This window comes from Homo sapiens, chromosome 8 (assembly GCF_000001405.40).
Source record: "Homo sapiens chromosome 8, GRCh38.p14 Primary Assembly".
In the NCBI taxonomy this organism is placed as follows: domain Eukaryota; kingdom Metazoa; phylum Chordata; class Mammalia; order Primates; family Hominidae; genus Homo; species Homo sapiens.
In genome coordinates, this window is record NC_000008.11 from 79117717 (window position 1) to 79133144 (window position 15428).

The 15428-nt window shown below is 38.0% G+C and overlaps 1 annotated feature.

Moving 5' to 3' along the window:
• Positions 1898-3097: an enhancer, noted in NCBI's record as "P300/CBP strongly-dependent group 1 enhancer chr8:80031849-80033048 (GRCh37/hg19 assembly coordinates)". NCBI's record gives its function as "activates an origin of replication core promoter dependent on BRD2, BRD4, P300/CBP, MED14 and CDK7 cofactors, with strong dependence on P300/CBP, by STARR-seq in HCT116 cells {active_cell/tissue: HCT116}" and the evidence as "EXISTENCE:reporter gene assay evidence [ECO:0000049][PMID:35650434]".

Sequence of the window (15428 nt, forward strand, 5' to 3'; positions counted from 1 at the left end):
TGGAATACTACGCAGTCATGAAAAAAGGATGAGTTCATGTCCTTTGTAGCAACATGGATGAAGCTGGAAACCATAATTGTGAGCAAACTATCGCAAGGACAGAAAACCAAACACCACATGTTCTCACTCATAGGTGGGAACTGAACAATGAGAACACTTGGACACAGGGTGGGGAACATCACATACCAGGGCCTTTCATGGGCTGGAGGAACAGGGGAGGGATAGCATCAGGAGAAATACCTAATGTGAATGACTAGTTAATGGGTGCAGCAAACCAACACAGTACATGTATACATATGTAACAAACCTGCAAGTTGTGCACATGTACCCTAAAACTTAAAGTATAATAAGTAATATAAAATAAAATAAAATAATAAAGTACTAAAACAATGCTAATTCTAGTAATTTTTTTAGCATTTTTCACCTGTGATGCCTACATTTTTACGAGAAATAACTTTACAACTATAATAATTAAAAATTTAAAAAGTTAAATAAGATATAATAATTTGATTTTACAACAATGTAGCTTCTGATGCATATTTCATGTTTTACCCTATTTACGGTATTTTTAAACAATATTTAAACATCCTCAGTAAAGTCTCATTCATAGAGAAAATTAAACTTTGAGGACAAAGAAATAAATGATTTTTGTTCAATATTTCTCAAAAGATAACATTTTTACTGTTATTTTAACACTAGAGTGTGAAATAAAAACCAGAAATATGAATCTGGTTTTTTTTGTTAGTTTGGCTTTATAAAAATCATGAACTACATTGGAGCTTCCAAGCTAAAGTACCTTCAAATACAATTAGTTACAGCTAGTCTCTTCAGTTGCATAATGAATATTGGCACAGGGAAACCATTCATTTTCCACAATGATTTTGTATTTATATAAAGTGGGTCAACTTTGTATCATGTGCAAGTATCCCAACCTCTCAAATCTTCAGCAATCCCATCTGAAAAATAGTAAATAATAATCATAACCCCTAGTAGGATTATTAAGAGACTACTGTGAGATAATATGGGTAATACATTTAGCACAGTGCCTGGTACATAAAAGGCATTCAACACATATTAGCAACTTTGTGTGTCTATCAGTACATATATATAAAGTATATAATAATAAATATCTCTTAATGATATAAACATCTGCAGAGATAATAATTTGGTAACTAGAAATATTTTATAATATTTTTTTCCTAAAATCCTATTAATCAGGTCTGAAAAGTCTGTTCCTTCCAATTGTTCACTTTAAATCAAATTGCCTATTTTCCTTCTACCTTTTTTAAAAGTTTCAAAAACAAAACAAATCTGCAATCTCCGCAATAGCAGAATTTATAGTCTAAAATAAGACTGATACTTTTAGTCATTGTAATGCTATGGCAGAAATAATAACATAGAACTTTAACTGGGATGCTTTGCAAGCACACGAACACAGACATCTAATAGCATGGGGCAAGGAGACAAAGAAGAAATGCATACTCCAGGAAATAATGTGTAATCCTATCCTTGAAAGATGAGGAGTTGCCATGTGAAGAAAGGGAATAATGAGAGAAATAGCATTTCAGGCCTAGGGAAAAGAATGTCAAAAACTCTGAAGTGTAAGTGAGCCAGGTAGGGGGCCAGGACCTTCCAATAGCACACTGTTACTAGAACAGTGGTGTGACATTAACTGAAATTTTAAAGAAATACTTGTGTCTGGGCTTAATCTCATAGGTGATGCTTTGGTGGGGGCTGTGTATGTGTGTGTGTGTATTTGTGTTTAAATTCCACAGTGCATATTGCTACACGACCCTAGCAGAGGATTTGGTTGGGGTAAGTTTGGGACAGCTGTAGATGATTCTGGGGAGACAGAAAATGACAGATCACAGTTAATTTCCTCAGTCATATAACAAACTAAAACTTTATCCTGTAGGTAACAAGACATCAATGACAGCTTTAAGCAGGAGGTTAACATTGACAGATTTTCATTTCAAATATATCACTTTCATATCAGAAAGGAAAATGAATTTGAGCTAGATTGGAGGTAGAGGACACAGATGTCAGATACAGTAAGTTCCTCTTCAAAGGTTTAATTTCTGACTTCCTTGTTCTTTGTTCTCGAGATCAACTTCTTTGTCCCTTCTTCTAAGCTACCTGCTCTGTAAACAACTTCTCCCGCCAGTCCCAATCTGTAATTCACATCTCTTCCTTATTTGGAAAGAGTCCTCTTTACTCCTGGCTACCCATTCTGTAAACTGCCCCTCCCGCTGAAACTACCCTTCTCCTGCCTTTGCCGTGCCCTGACAGGCCCAAACATGCCCTGTACCATAAAGGACAGCCTCTCCCTTCCCACCTAACTTGCCATATTCAATTTTAAACAGTAGCCAATTGGGTCAGTTTAGATTGTGCTGTCCAACTCGAGCAAATGGGGACAGGACACAGAAGCAGGGACTAGCCCTGTTAGGGATAAAACCCCCTTCCCTCCTTTGTTCGGTGTGCTCTTGCAGTCGTGACTGACACAGGCAGCACCCTTCTGCAGAAGTAAATTTGCCTTGCTGAGAAGTCTTTTGTTTGAGTGCTCATTTTCTTTGTGACTCTGAGCTGTTGTTTCTAACAATTTGGGGACCTGTCCCAGATCCCATTCTCCTCTGGGGAAGGGTCTCTAATCACCTCTCGTGAGGAGACACATCCTGCTGCCTCACTGTGGTGGCCTCAGGGGTAAGGAATCTGGACCCACCCAGTGTGACGAATAAACACAGACTCTCAGCAACGCAGGAAGAGGAGGCCTATAAATGCCACAGTGATCAGGTAACTCTGTGCACAGACCAATGTAAGAAAAGCCGTGGGGGCAGGGAAGTACTTCCTTGGTGGTTGAGACATCCTGGAGGTTAAAAGTGTGTGATTGAGACACACAACTGAGTGTGAAGTGAAAGTAGGGGAGTGCAAGAAATTTCCACTCGTGGGGGTTGAGGCTCCAGGGAAAATGGTGCAAGAAATCTCTAGTAGGAGAGGTTGAGCCCCACAGAGTCTCCAGGGAAAAAGTTGCAAGAAATCTCTAGTAAGAGAGGTTGGGTCCCATAGACTCAGAAAACTCTGGGAAACACCTAAAACTTCCAGGATGGGAAATACCCCAAGCAAAGCAGAAAAAAAAAAAAAAAAAAAAGACAATAAAATTCCCTCCAATAGCCCACTGAGGAAATACGAGAGATCTAAGGGAAATGATAACTAAAGAAATTAGAGACTTGATGCCCCACACCCAGAATATTACCAAAGCCTTTAATATACAGCAGGGAAAGGATGAAGGACCTGTAGAGTCCTTAGAGAGGCTTGAGGAGCAAAAGAGAAAGTAAGCTGGCCTAAAATTAGAAAACCCCCTGGAACAAGGAATGTTAAAACTCCACTTTGTCACCAACAGTTGGCCAGATTTTATAAGAAAATTACAGAAAACAGAGAATTGGAAAGACCATCCCATAGAGGAACTTTTAAGAAAGGCCCAAAAGGTGTATGTATGGAGGGATGAGGAAAGGCAGAAGCAAAATGCAAAAATTATGCTGTCCACCCTACAACAGGGTGCTCTTCAACAGGGAGCCCAGGGAAATAGAGCCTGTAAGCCTTCCAAGAACCAGGCTGCCAGATCCTACACAAGAGGCAAAGGAATCAAGCAGGAAGGCCAGGAAATAAAAAGGAGAAAAGGACAAAACGAATGTTTCAAATGTGGAAAAATAGGGCACTTTAAAGAGAATGCCTTAAGTGGGAAATAGAAAAGGAAGCCATCCCCCTTATGGTTTTTGAGGAAGAATACGGGGGTCAGAGGCTCTGTCTTTTCTACCTCTGGTCCCACCAAAAGCCCTTGATAAATTTAGAGGTGGGACCCAACTCTGAGCTTATTACTTTTTTTAATTGACTCAGGGGTGGCTCGCTCTTCTGTTTGTTATCCCCCATCAGATGTAATTTGTTCACAAGAAGAACTTCATATCTCAGGAGTAAAAAGAGAAGGATTTAAAGCAAAGATCTTAAAAGAAACAAAAGTTATATATATAAACAAATCAGTTAATATTAAGTTTCTATTAATTCCAGAGGCAGGAACAAACCTATTACGGAGAGATTTAATACTAGAATTAGGTTTAGGCCTCTATATTAACCAGGGAAAATTTCTCACCTCTCTAAACTTACTACTATAGATGAAAAGTATATCCATCCCAGTATCTGGTCAAGAGAAGGTAATTAAGGAAAGCTACAGCTTCCTCCAATCCATGTCAAGTTAAAAATTCCTGGGGAAGTAGTAAAAAGAAAATAATACCCTATTCCTTTAAAAGCTAGAATAGGTTTAAAACCTATAATTGAAAGCCTTGTCCATGATGGACTCCTTGAACCCTGTTGGTCCTCTTATAACACTCCCGTATTGCCTGTAAGGAAATGGGACAGGTCATACTGGTTAGTACAAGACCTATGGGCTATTAATCAAATAGTTCAAACCACCAACCCTGTTGTTCCCAATCTCAAAAACTACATATTTGGTCTACCCTTCACCCTTTCCTCAGTCAGGACTCAAGGCCTCCTAGTGCAGATTCCACCCCTTGAATTCCCAGTTCATCAACACCAGCCTGGAGATTATGTCCTTGTCAGAAGTTGGAGAGAGGGAAAACTCGAGCCCACCTGGGAAGGACCTTACCTGGTGCTCCTCACAACTGAGATAGAAGTCCAAACTGCTGAAAAAGGGTGGAACTGTCATACCTGAGTCAAGAAGGCTCACCCTCTCCAAAACCATGGACCATTGTCCCAGGGCCGGCTCCCACGAGAGTAACATTAAAAAGAAAAGCCTAATTTGTCTGCCTCTTTTTCCTCTTCTCTTTCCCTTAACCGCCCCCCATTTTATTCTCCATTACTATCCCTTTCTCTGGCAACTCTATATGGTCTAGGAGCAGATGTCACTGGAAAAAAAACCCATAGGCTTCTTTGAAATGCTCTTTGTTTCTCCCCCCTCCAACTACTCCTTCCCCAAGCCCACCAAATTAAACTATTTCCATTTCTTGTTTCTTACCCAATGACAAAACCAAAGTAGTTGCAGTAGAAGCCAAGGACTTAAAGCAAACCCTAGCCATAGAAACTTGGCATCAAGATGTAAATGCCTGGCTGGAATGGATTAAATATTCTGTTCGCACCCTAAATAAGAGCAATTGTTATGCTTGTGCAATGGGCAGGCCAGAAGCCCAAATTGTTCCCTTTCCACTTGGATGGTCCTCAGACCAACAGGGTATAAGCTGTATGGTAGCTCTCTTCCAAGAACCCACAGCCAGGGGCAATAAGGCATGCTGAACTCTCTCGCTGCTATTCCCAAAAGTTAAAGGCCCTGCAGGTCAGCCCCCAAGAGTCATCTGGCTTCTGGTTAACAATGTCAATTTTACCTTGTGTCTCTCATGACAAGGGGAAAATCTGGCATTCCTTGGAAGCCTATTGTTATGCAGTGAGTCCAAGCCTTTTCAGAGCTAACCAATCAGTCTGCCTTTGTTCATACCAGAGCGGATGTATAGTGGTATTGTGGTGAGCCACTATTCGGTACTCTGCCAAGTAACTGAAGCAGCACTTGTGCTCAAATCCAACTAGCCATCCCTTTCACCCTGGCATTTTATCAACCAAACAAAAAGAACAATCGTAAAAGAAGTGCCCTTCATGGGTCCTTTGACCCTCACATTTATATGGATGCCACTGGAGTTGCACGAAGGGTGCCAAATGAATTTAAAACCTGAAATCAAATAGCCACAGGATTTGAATTTATATTGTTTTCATGGGTAACTGTAAAAAAAAAATGTAGACTGGATAAATCACATTTACTATAATCAATAGCAGTTTATTAATTGTACTAGAGATGCCATAAAAGGGATAGCTGAACAATTAGGCCCCACCAGCCAAATAGCCTGGGAAAATAGAATAGCTCTGGAAATAATATTACCTGAGAATGACAGGGTCTGTGTTATGATTGGAGTCCAATGCTGTACTTTTATCCCTAACAACACAGCCCCCAATGGAACAATCACAAAGGCTTTACAGGGCCTTACCACCCTAGCAAATAAATTGGCTGAAAATTCTAGAGTAAATGACCATTTCTTTGATCTCATGGAAAAAATGGTTTGGAAGATGGAAAGGACTTATGTCCTCAATCCTTACTTCTCTTGCCATTGTAATAGGTGTGCTTATTCTTGTAGGATGTTGTATCATACCCTGTGCCTGAAGCCTAGTACAAAGGCTTATTGAAACAGCTCTCGCTAAAACCTTTTTCTATTCCCCCCTGCCTTATTCAGATAAGCTCCTACTTATAGAAAACCAAGCAGAACAACAGAGTCAAGACATGTTAAAAAGGTTTGAAGAGGAAGAATTATAAAAATCAAAAGGAGGGGGAATTGTCAGATACAGTAAGTTCCTCTTCAAAGGTTTAATTTCTGACTTCCTTGTTCTTTGTTCTCAAGAGCAGCTTCTTTGTCCCTTCTCCTAAGCTACCTGCTCTGTAATCAACTTCTCCCGCCAGTCCCAATCTGTAACTCACATCTCTTCTTTATTTGGAAAGAGTCCTCTTTACTCCTGGCTACCCATTCTGTAAACCGCCCCTCCCGCTGAAACTACCCTTCCTGCCTTTGCCGCACCCTGACATGCCCAAACATGCCTTGTACTATAACAGACAGCCTCTCCCTTCCCACCTAAAGAGACAGATTCAATTTTAAACAGTAGCCAATCAGGTCAGTTTAGATTTTGCCATCTGACTCCAGCTAATGGGGACAGGACACAGAGGCAGTGACTAACCACATTAGGGATAAAAACCCCTTCCCTCCTTTGTTCGGTGTGCTCTTGCTGTTGTGACTGATGCAGGCAGCACCATTCTGCAGAAGCAATTTGCCTTGCTAAGAAGTCTTTTGTTTGAGTGCTCATTTTCTTTGCAACTCCGAGCCCTTGTTTCTAACACAGAGAACAAATGATTTCAGCAGATTAGCCAAAAATGATTAGGATCTAACCTAGGGAAGTGAAGGTGGAGATGGAGAAAGGCAAAAAGTGACAGAAATTGATGACTGAGTCCATACGATGAAGTGTTTAACAGCAGAAGAAATTGTAAACATTAATTTGGATATTTACTTGTTCTAGATAGTGAATTAATATAGCACTGTATTGTGTTGGGTTCCTGGTTTGTGTTTAGGAAGTCTTAGGTAAGGAAATAGACAATGTTTGAAACTGCTTTGCAAGAGATAATAGATATTGATCAAAGAAATTTTCAAATATTAGCCTGCTATCAAAATTATGGCACCACCGAGAGAGCTTTGAAAATGTGGTCTAGGTACCTCACTTTATGAAGAACTAGTTTAGAGGAATGGATGTATGACATATTCATTAGGCTCAAAAAATTGATGTTTTCAGAGACATTTTGGCAATTGCTTCATTGCAATCAATTCATGGCTGGAGAAGAGATAGCCTCATTTCTTTGTTAAAGAAGAATTGATGTGCTCTGCAAGAGCTAAAACTGACCTTCTGTCGTGTAAATCAAGGAGCCCAATTTGTAAGGGTCATGTTACTGCCACCTACTGTGGAGTGGAAAGGTGTTGGAAATAGGGGCCAACATATATATATATATGTATATATTTGAACTCTAAGATGTACTTCATTCCTCTTGCTGCCTGGCCAAATTTTGCTCATCTTCAAGACTGAGATAAGGTGCTGTCTTTCACAGGAAGTCTTCCTTAATTAGAACTTGCCCCCAGCTTAGATTAGGCACTCCTGTTTTGTGCTTCTGTAGTACAGCATGGATGTCACAGCAAACTACAATGTTCTGTTTACTTATATATCTTCATCTCTAGACTGTTGATGGCAAGGAATGTCTAAGTCAATAGCATCTAGCAAATGCCTAGCACATGGATGACATTCCATCTACATCCTGCCCTTGGCAATCCTATTTTCCTTTACTCTGTTATTTTCCCAATAGCGGTTATCATCTTTTAATGTAATGCATAATTTTCTTATATTTTAGTGCTTAATTTTTTATTATCTATTTCCTATAGCAAAATGTAAGCTTCTCAGAGATAGGAATTCTTGTCTTTTATGTTTCACAGAACTCAGTACTTGGTACATAATAGTTTCTCAGTAAAAAACTCATTATTTGAATGAATGAACTTATTAGAAGGTTGTTTAACTATATACAAGGAAATATCATGGTAAAAGGAACTGTCATACCACTTCATTAAATATTTACTAAATAAGTATGAAACTTCACATTCCTGTATTATAGAAATTAGAATAACAATTTTGACCCAAAATGTTTCATAAAGATGTCTGAGCTAAATAAAAAAAATTCTACTAGAATATTGACCTTAATTAAAATCACAACCTTACCATATACAAACCTCCTCTTTCCTCTTTACAGAAGAAAATGTTAATACATCCTTACTCAAATGAGAGCAACTAGATGAAGGCAAAAAAAAAATGCTTTTCAAATATTTGAATGGATGCCCTGGTTGGTTATTTGCTAATGTTCCCCTAAATATTTCTATTAAACTTCAAACTTTAGGACTTCATAACTTCCAATCTATAATTTTCCATCTATATTGCCTCTGATCTCTAATTTTTGCTCTTAAGTTCCCTCTATTTTCATGAATATAGACTTATGTGAGTAGAGACATTTTTGCTACCTCAAAAAACAACCACTACTTAGTCAGATGAAAATACATCCCTTAAGTGAGGAGTCAGACTTTACTGGAAGTATAGACACTCCCTTATTCTCAAACACTCTTTTACTTGTGACTTTCTGAATTCCAACTTGGCTAATCACTCCTCTTTGGAGATGTCCAGTGTTCCTCACTTACCTTTGCAAAACTCCATTTCTCTGAATATCCCATAAATATCAGTGTGTCTCGAATTTTGTTCTAGTCCCCCTTCTTTCACTCTATGTAGTTCTAGAGAATAGTCTCAGCAATTTCCAAGACCTCAACTATTCCTTATATTGATGACTCTCACATATTTATGGCAATGGTCTGTCTAAATTCCTATTGTACATGTCCTCTTGTATTGAGCACAAGAACCACAAACTTAAGATGCAAAATATCAAGCTCATTGTTCAACTCCTACTTTTAAGTGAGAACATGCGGTGTTTGGTTTTCTGTTCCTGTGTTACTTTGCCTGTCTGAGGGATGGGGGACCAGGGGAGGGATAGCATTAGGAGAAATACCTAATGTAGATGATGGGTTGATGGGTGCAGCAAACTACCATGGCACATGAATACCTGTGTAACAAACCTGCACATTCTGCACATGTATCCCAGAACTTAAAGTATAATAAAATAAAATAAAAATCAAGCTCATCTTTCCCTGACTTGCTTTTGTTCATAGGTTTTCTATGTCAATGAAAGGCATCAAATGTCCAGACAGCTAAGCCACATTTGACATTCCTCTTCATTCCTACATTCAACCAACTGCTAAAGCTTATTAGTTTCATCTTCTAACAAATAAGAATCTATTTGTTAACGTTTCTTCATTTTCACCATCCAGGATACTATTATCTCATCCTTGGAGCATTGTTTATAATTGTCTTTATCTTATTATTCTCACTCTTGTATTGCTTTTCTCAAATTTATTTTTTTTCACCGAAGCCCTGTTGATAATTCTAAAAGGCAAATCTTTCTTCCTTTCAGCACTCAGTTGTCCTCCTGCTGCTTTGCAATGATTTCTGAAATCCTTAAAAAGGTTTGAAGATCCTTTCTAATTTTGCACTGGCTGACTTCTTCAATTTCAATTCTACTGCTCTCTACCTCACCTTATATAATCCAGTCATACTGAACTTTTAAAAAGTATCTAAAAGCATCTTACTCAATCTTCTTTTCAGACCTTCATACCATTGGGTAAATTGGTGTATCTCATCTGGGATGATATGCAGATGTGTAATTCTAGCAACATGTAGGAAAAGATTTATTAGACTTCTAGTCCAGCCTATTTGATAAGAAAATCTCAACATGAAGTTAAACACTCATTCTGTTGAAATAATCATAATTTCCATCTTGTCTCATTAACTACTCATTCTTTATATCTCAAATTAGATGTTACTTTATTTTGCAATCTACTTCCAGTAGATTAGTTACTCCCATGGCGTATTTCTGTAGCAGTTTGTATGTCTGTGTCATCATTATATACCTCTAAAATTGCAGAATTTCCTGAAAGACTGAAGCTCAATAAAGATAAGAATAATGGCTGTCTTTATTATCATATCCCCAGTACTTACAGTGCCAGCACATAGCAGAAGCTCAAGGCATTGTTGTTGCTGTTGAAAGATTAAGTGATAAATTAAGGGGAAATTTTTGTCTGTCTTCTTTGGAGGATAAAGGGTTTCTGATGACATAAATCAAGAGCAGCCACTAATTGTATTTCTCAAATCGACCCCACCAGCTTTATATTATAATAAGGGAAATTCCTCCAAATGTGGCAATAGGTTGTCTCAGAATTAATTTTTTGTAACGTCTTCTTCTCTGATTCATGGCTAGTTTTAAAGAAATCTAGAAAGGATTCTTATGGAGACAGATTGCCAGATGTTATTTTAGTCTGAAAGTTGTCTATCCATTGATGACGAAGCTTGTGTTTGAGCAATGAACACATTCTTCTCACACTTTCAGTTGAAATGTGCTATCACTTTGGGGCAAAGAGGTAGGAATATCTCTACCTAATTGTTTATGAAGAAGTCCTGGAAAAGAAGTCTACCAACTGCACAGGGAAATTTATCTGTTTATTCTTGTAAGGATAGGCTTAGTATCCTTGAAATGCAGGGTCACTGAATAGGAAAATAATTATCGCAAGAATTAGAACCAAATAAAATGGTGTGAATGAAGGATTGTAACAAGTAATGTTTTATTCTCAATAAGCCAATTGTACTAATATTGTTATTATCTATCAGTAGATAAAGCTATTCTTGGATAAGATTTTAAAAAATCCTATCTATTTAATGTTCATTAAGAGAATAACTGAATAGATATATAGGTAGATAATTGGGAAAGATTTACTTTATAAAAAGAAATACAGTTTGAGCTCCATAAATATTAAAAATCCAGGTCTTCTATAATTGTTTATCTTCACTTACAAATTTTCTGATATGTTTAAGCATGTAAGGAAAATTCTCTTTATCTTGGTCTAGGACTCAAGAATTTTTCTCATTAAAAAAATTGAGATAGCAGATGATCAAATTTTATAGCAAAGCCCTTGTTCTTAACAGTCCCGGAAATATAAATCATGTCCGAGTTTCCAGAGTTTTTGCATGTAGAAAGCAGGTATGAAGAGAAATATAATATCTTCTGGCTTAATGATTTTTCAAGTCAAAGCTTTCTCACATTTTTTTAATGATAAAATAACTTTGGAAAGATCTAAAAAAGGGATGATTTTGACACCTTAATAAGAGATGTCCTAGAAATAGGAAGAAGATATCAAATGAGTAATTTCATATATATTTCTTTCTATAAAGCCCTCTAGAGTTCTTCAGAATCACCTAATTGTTTTTTAAGTTAAAAGAATCACATTGATGTAAGCTAGTATATGGGACAAGAGTATTTTACTGAGTTTGTGTTTTGTACCAAGCACTGTACAAGCCTTGGAAATGCAAGTGAGTTGAACTGATATAGTCCCTCCCTCTTCTCATGGAGCTAATGCTACAGTAGAAAGGAAAGACATAAATAAAATAATCATACAAAAATAAATATGTAATTATCTATGCTATGATTACTGTTAGGAGTTAAAACACTGAACTTTATGAATGCCTATACTGGAGTTCTGACAGTCCATTTAGGATCTGAAGAGGGACAAGGCATTTCCCAACAGGACTCCAGGCACAAGAAAGTCCTGGAACAATGATAAGGACCATTTTTTATCCAAGAAAGTGAAAGAAGGCTAATGTGGCTGGGGTACAGAGAGACATGGGGAAAAGGATACAAGATGATGGGATAGAGGTTGGCAGAAGCCAGATCATGCAGAGCTTTATTGCTATGCATGACTATCAGGTCTTCATCCTAATAATAATGAAAAGCCTTGAAGAGTTTAACTTTATTTTTATTTTTACTTTTTACTGGGGACCTCCTGATGTGCAGAAAGAGCTTAACATTAAATCAGCACAAGTAAGTATATTATCAGCAGACAGGGTGGAGGGTATAAAATTATTTCTAAAAGTGCTAAGGAGTAAATCTCTTTTTAGACTTCTCTATTCTTTGATTATATTGTTTATTTCTCCAGTATTTTAATCCAGCTAGCCCCCTCAAAAAATATAGGCAAAGTAGGTGGAAAAATATTCTTCATGGAAACATACATTGAACAAATCTATCAACAAATACAGATTTAGCATTTTCCAGTGCCTGCATCCATAAAAAAGCCCAGGCACTCAGAATAAAAGAGTGAGCAAAACAGACAGAACTACTGCTTTCCTGGGGCTTACAATCTCCCCACCCCCCCCCCCCCCAAAAAAAGGGAGTCAAATTCTTGTGATCTTATGAACTCTGAATAACAAGGATATCTGGCCAAAGCTAACCAAGAAGCTGGACAATCTTACCCGGAGAGAGTAATCAATATGGATAAAGTATCTAGACCTACTTAATAGCATTCATTTTCGAAAACAGATTAATGTGACCACATTGCCCTCTGATTCAGGCATCTTCAACCATTTAGTTGGAGGTTATCATTTATTGGGTCATTTTGTATTCCACATTGATAAATACTGCATCAGCTTCATCTTAAACTTGACACAGATACTGTTCTATCCTACTCCAACCTAAGTATCACTGTCCATCCTTGATGGGGGCAGCAGAGCTGAGTCACTACAGTTGCTCCAGCTGACAGTGACCCAACCCCCAGATATGTGAATGAGCCCAGATAAGAATAGCAAAACCACCTACTTGGCCATCAACAGTCCAAACATATGTAATCAATGCTCAATATTGTGTGTCACTGAGGCTTTGTGGTTGTCTTTTAATATGGCATTATTGTGAAAGCCAATAACTAAAACAATTTAAAGTCAATTTGTATATATGGAGGGCTGTATCCTAGAAATCACCAACAGCATCTTATCTGGCTTCTGTTATTCATACAGATGGCATCGTTACAGGTGGATTTCCTAGAATCACAGCTTATATTCCCTGCCACCCATGCTCTGAGTTCCAGACTTAGATATCAAACCACATGAGCAAAATCTACATTAGGATGTCTAATTGGATGGTTCTAACTTAACATGTTCAAATGAGAACCCTCGTATCCCCCCCTCAGAACTTCCCTTTCCTCAGACTTCTACATTTCAGTAAGTAGCATCATCATCATCCTACTTACTCAGGACAATACAATACTCTAGTCATCACTTTTGACTCCTTTCATTCACAATTTGTGTTCAAAACATCAGTAAGACCTGCTGGCTCTATCTTTCAAGAGCGTTGGATTCTAAATCCAATAGTGTCCTAACGAGTGTCCCGGGAGCTACTGTTGCCTTGATAGAGTTAATTGTCTTCACCACAAATAGATCAATCTTACTTATAGTGGAAATTAGGTCACATTATTTTCCTGCTCAAAGTCCTTCATACCCAAAACCAAACTCCATGTTCTTGCTGTGGTCTGAAAGACACTACATGATTGCTTCCCCCAACCCCCATTCATCTTCCTATCTCAACTTTCACATCACTTACTTATCTCCCCTCCTTGGTTATTAGGAGCTAGGATACTGGAACTCTTGCATGTCAAACTTGTTCCCACTTCGGGATATTTGCATTTGTGCTTGCAGTTTTTTTCTCCCTGGAAAGAATGTCGTTCAGATATTTTCATGACTCACTCCAATTAAGTCTCTGCTCAAATATCTCTACTATAATAACATGTCCACAGCTGACCTTAGTTGAAATCACAACCATTACCACATACGTATTGCCTCTATTCCCATCCCATTGTTTTGTGTATTTGTGTGTGGTGTATAATCCCAGCATTTTGGAAGGCCAAGGTGGGAGGGTTACTTGAGCCTAAGAGTTTGAGACCAGTCTGGGCAATATAGTGAGATGCTGTCTCTAAAAAATAAAAAAATAAATAAAAAAAATAAACAAAAATTGCTGGGCCTAATGGTGCACACCTGTTTTTCCCATATTCCCAGCTACTGGGGAGGCTGAGGCAGGAGGATTGCTTGAGCCCAGGAGTTTGAGGCTTCGATGAGCTATGATCATGCCACTGCACTCCAACCTGGGCACCTGAGACCCTGTCACAAAAAAAAAAAAAAAAAAAAAAAAAGACAAGAAAAAGAAGAAAGAAAAAAAAAGAATGTAAGCATTATGAAGTAGTAGATTTCATCTTGTTTACCATTGTAGCAACTTCCAGGCCTAGACTAGTGCCCCTTTCATTAGAGTTACTCAATAAATAATAGCTGAATGAAGTAGTAAGTGAATTAATGTATAAGAAATCTAGAAATCACCACAGTAACTTACATGTGTAATCCCAGCATTTTGGGAGGCCTATGCAGTCAGATCATTTGAGGTCAGGAGTTCGAAACCAGCCTAGCCAGCATGGCAAAACCCTATCTCTACTAAAAATACAAAAATTAGCCGGGCATGATGGTGGGCACCTGTAATCCCAGCTACTTAGGAGGCTGAGGCAGGAGAATCGCTTGAGCCCGGGAGGCAGAGGTTGCTGTGAGCAGAGATCACACCACTGCACCACTCCAGCCTGGGCAACAGAGCAAGAACCCATCTCAAAAAAAAAAAAAAAAAAAGAAATCTAGAAATTGTCCCAGTCGCTACTTCTCTCCTCTCCTCTCCATAACAAATACTTATGGTCATGAAGAATCTGCCTTTGGTTAATTGTGATTTTCCACCATGACAGTTTGAATTAATCCAAAGTATTTTAAAAATGAAAATAAAATAAGCAGTTAGCTCTAATGGCATACAGGTTAACTGCAGCTTGATGTTAGAGGCATTGGAGATTAAAAGGTGCCATTGCAGGATATGAACCCATACACAATAATAGTTACAGATTCAAAGCTGTGATTCCTCAATGTTTGAAGGTTTCTATAGGAACAACACGATTGTGTGTTCTGTTTATAAGCTTAAAATATGTGGTGGCAAGAAAGTGCTGCTGTAACAACCATGTGAGGATAATTCAAAAGATGAAAGCCTGTAAAAATTAATGATCAGAGAAGAATGTGGCCTAGTAAATCAACAACCACATTATTAAAAACAGAGGAAATATAATTGGCCACATATGGTCACACTATAACAAGGCGAGAGTCATTGCATTCTTTAAGCCAGTTACCCATTTACACCTGCACCGTGATGGCTTATGGAGAGAGCAACAGACACGCCAACAGCCTTGTGGAAATGAAATCATTCTCTTATTAATACCATCAATGACATCCAATTAGCTATTAAGAAAATGGCTTAGAAGTGCAAACAGGTACCTAAAATGAAACCATCCTAATGAATTACA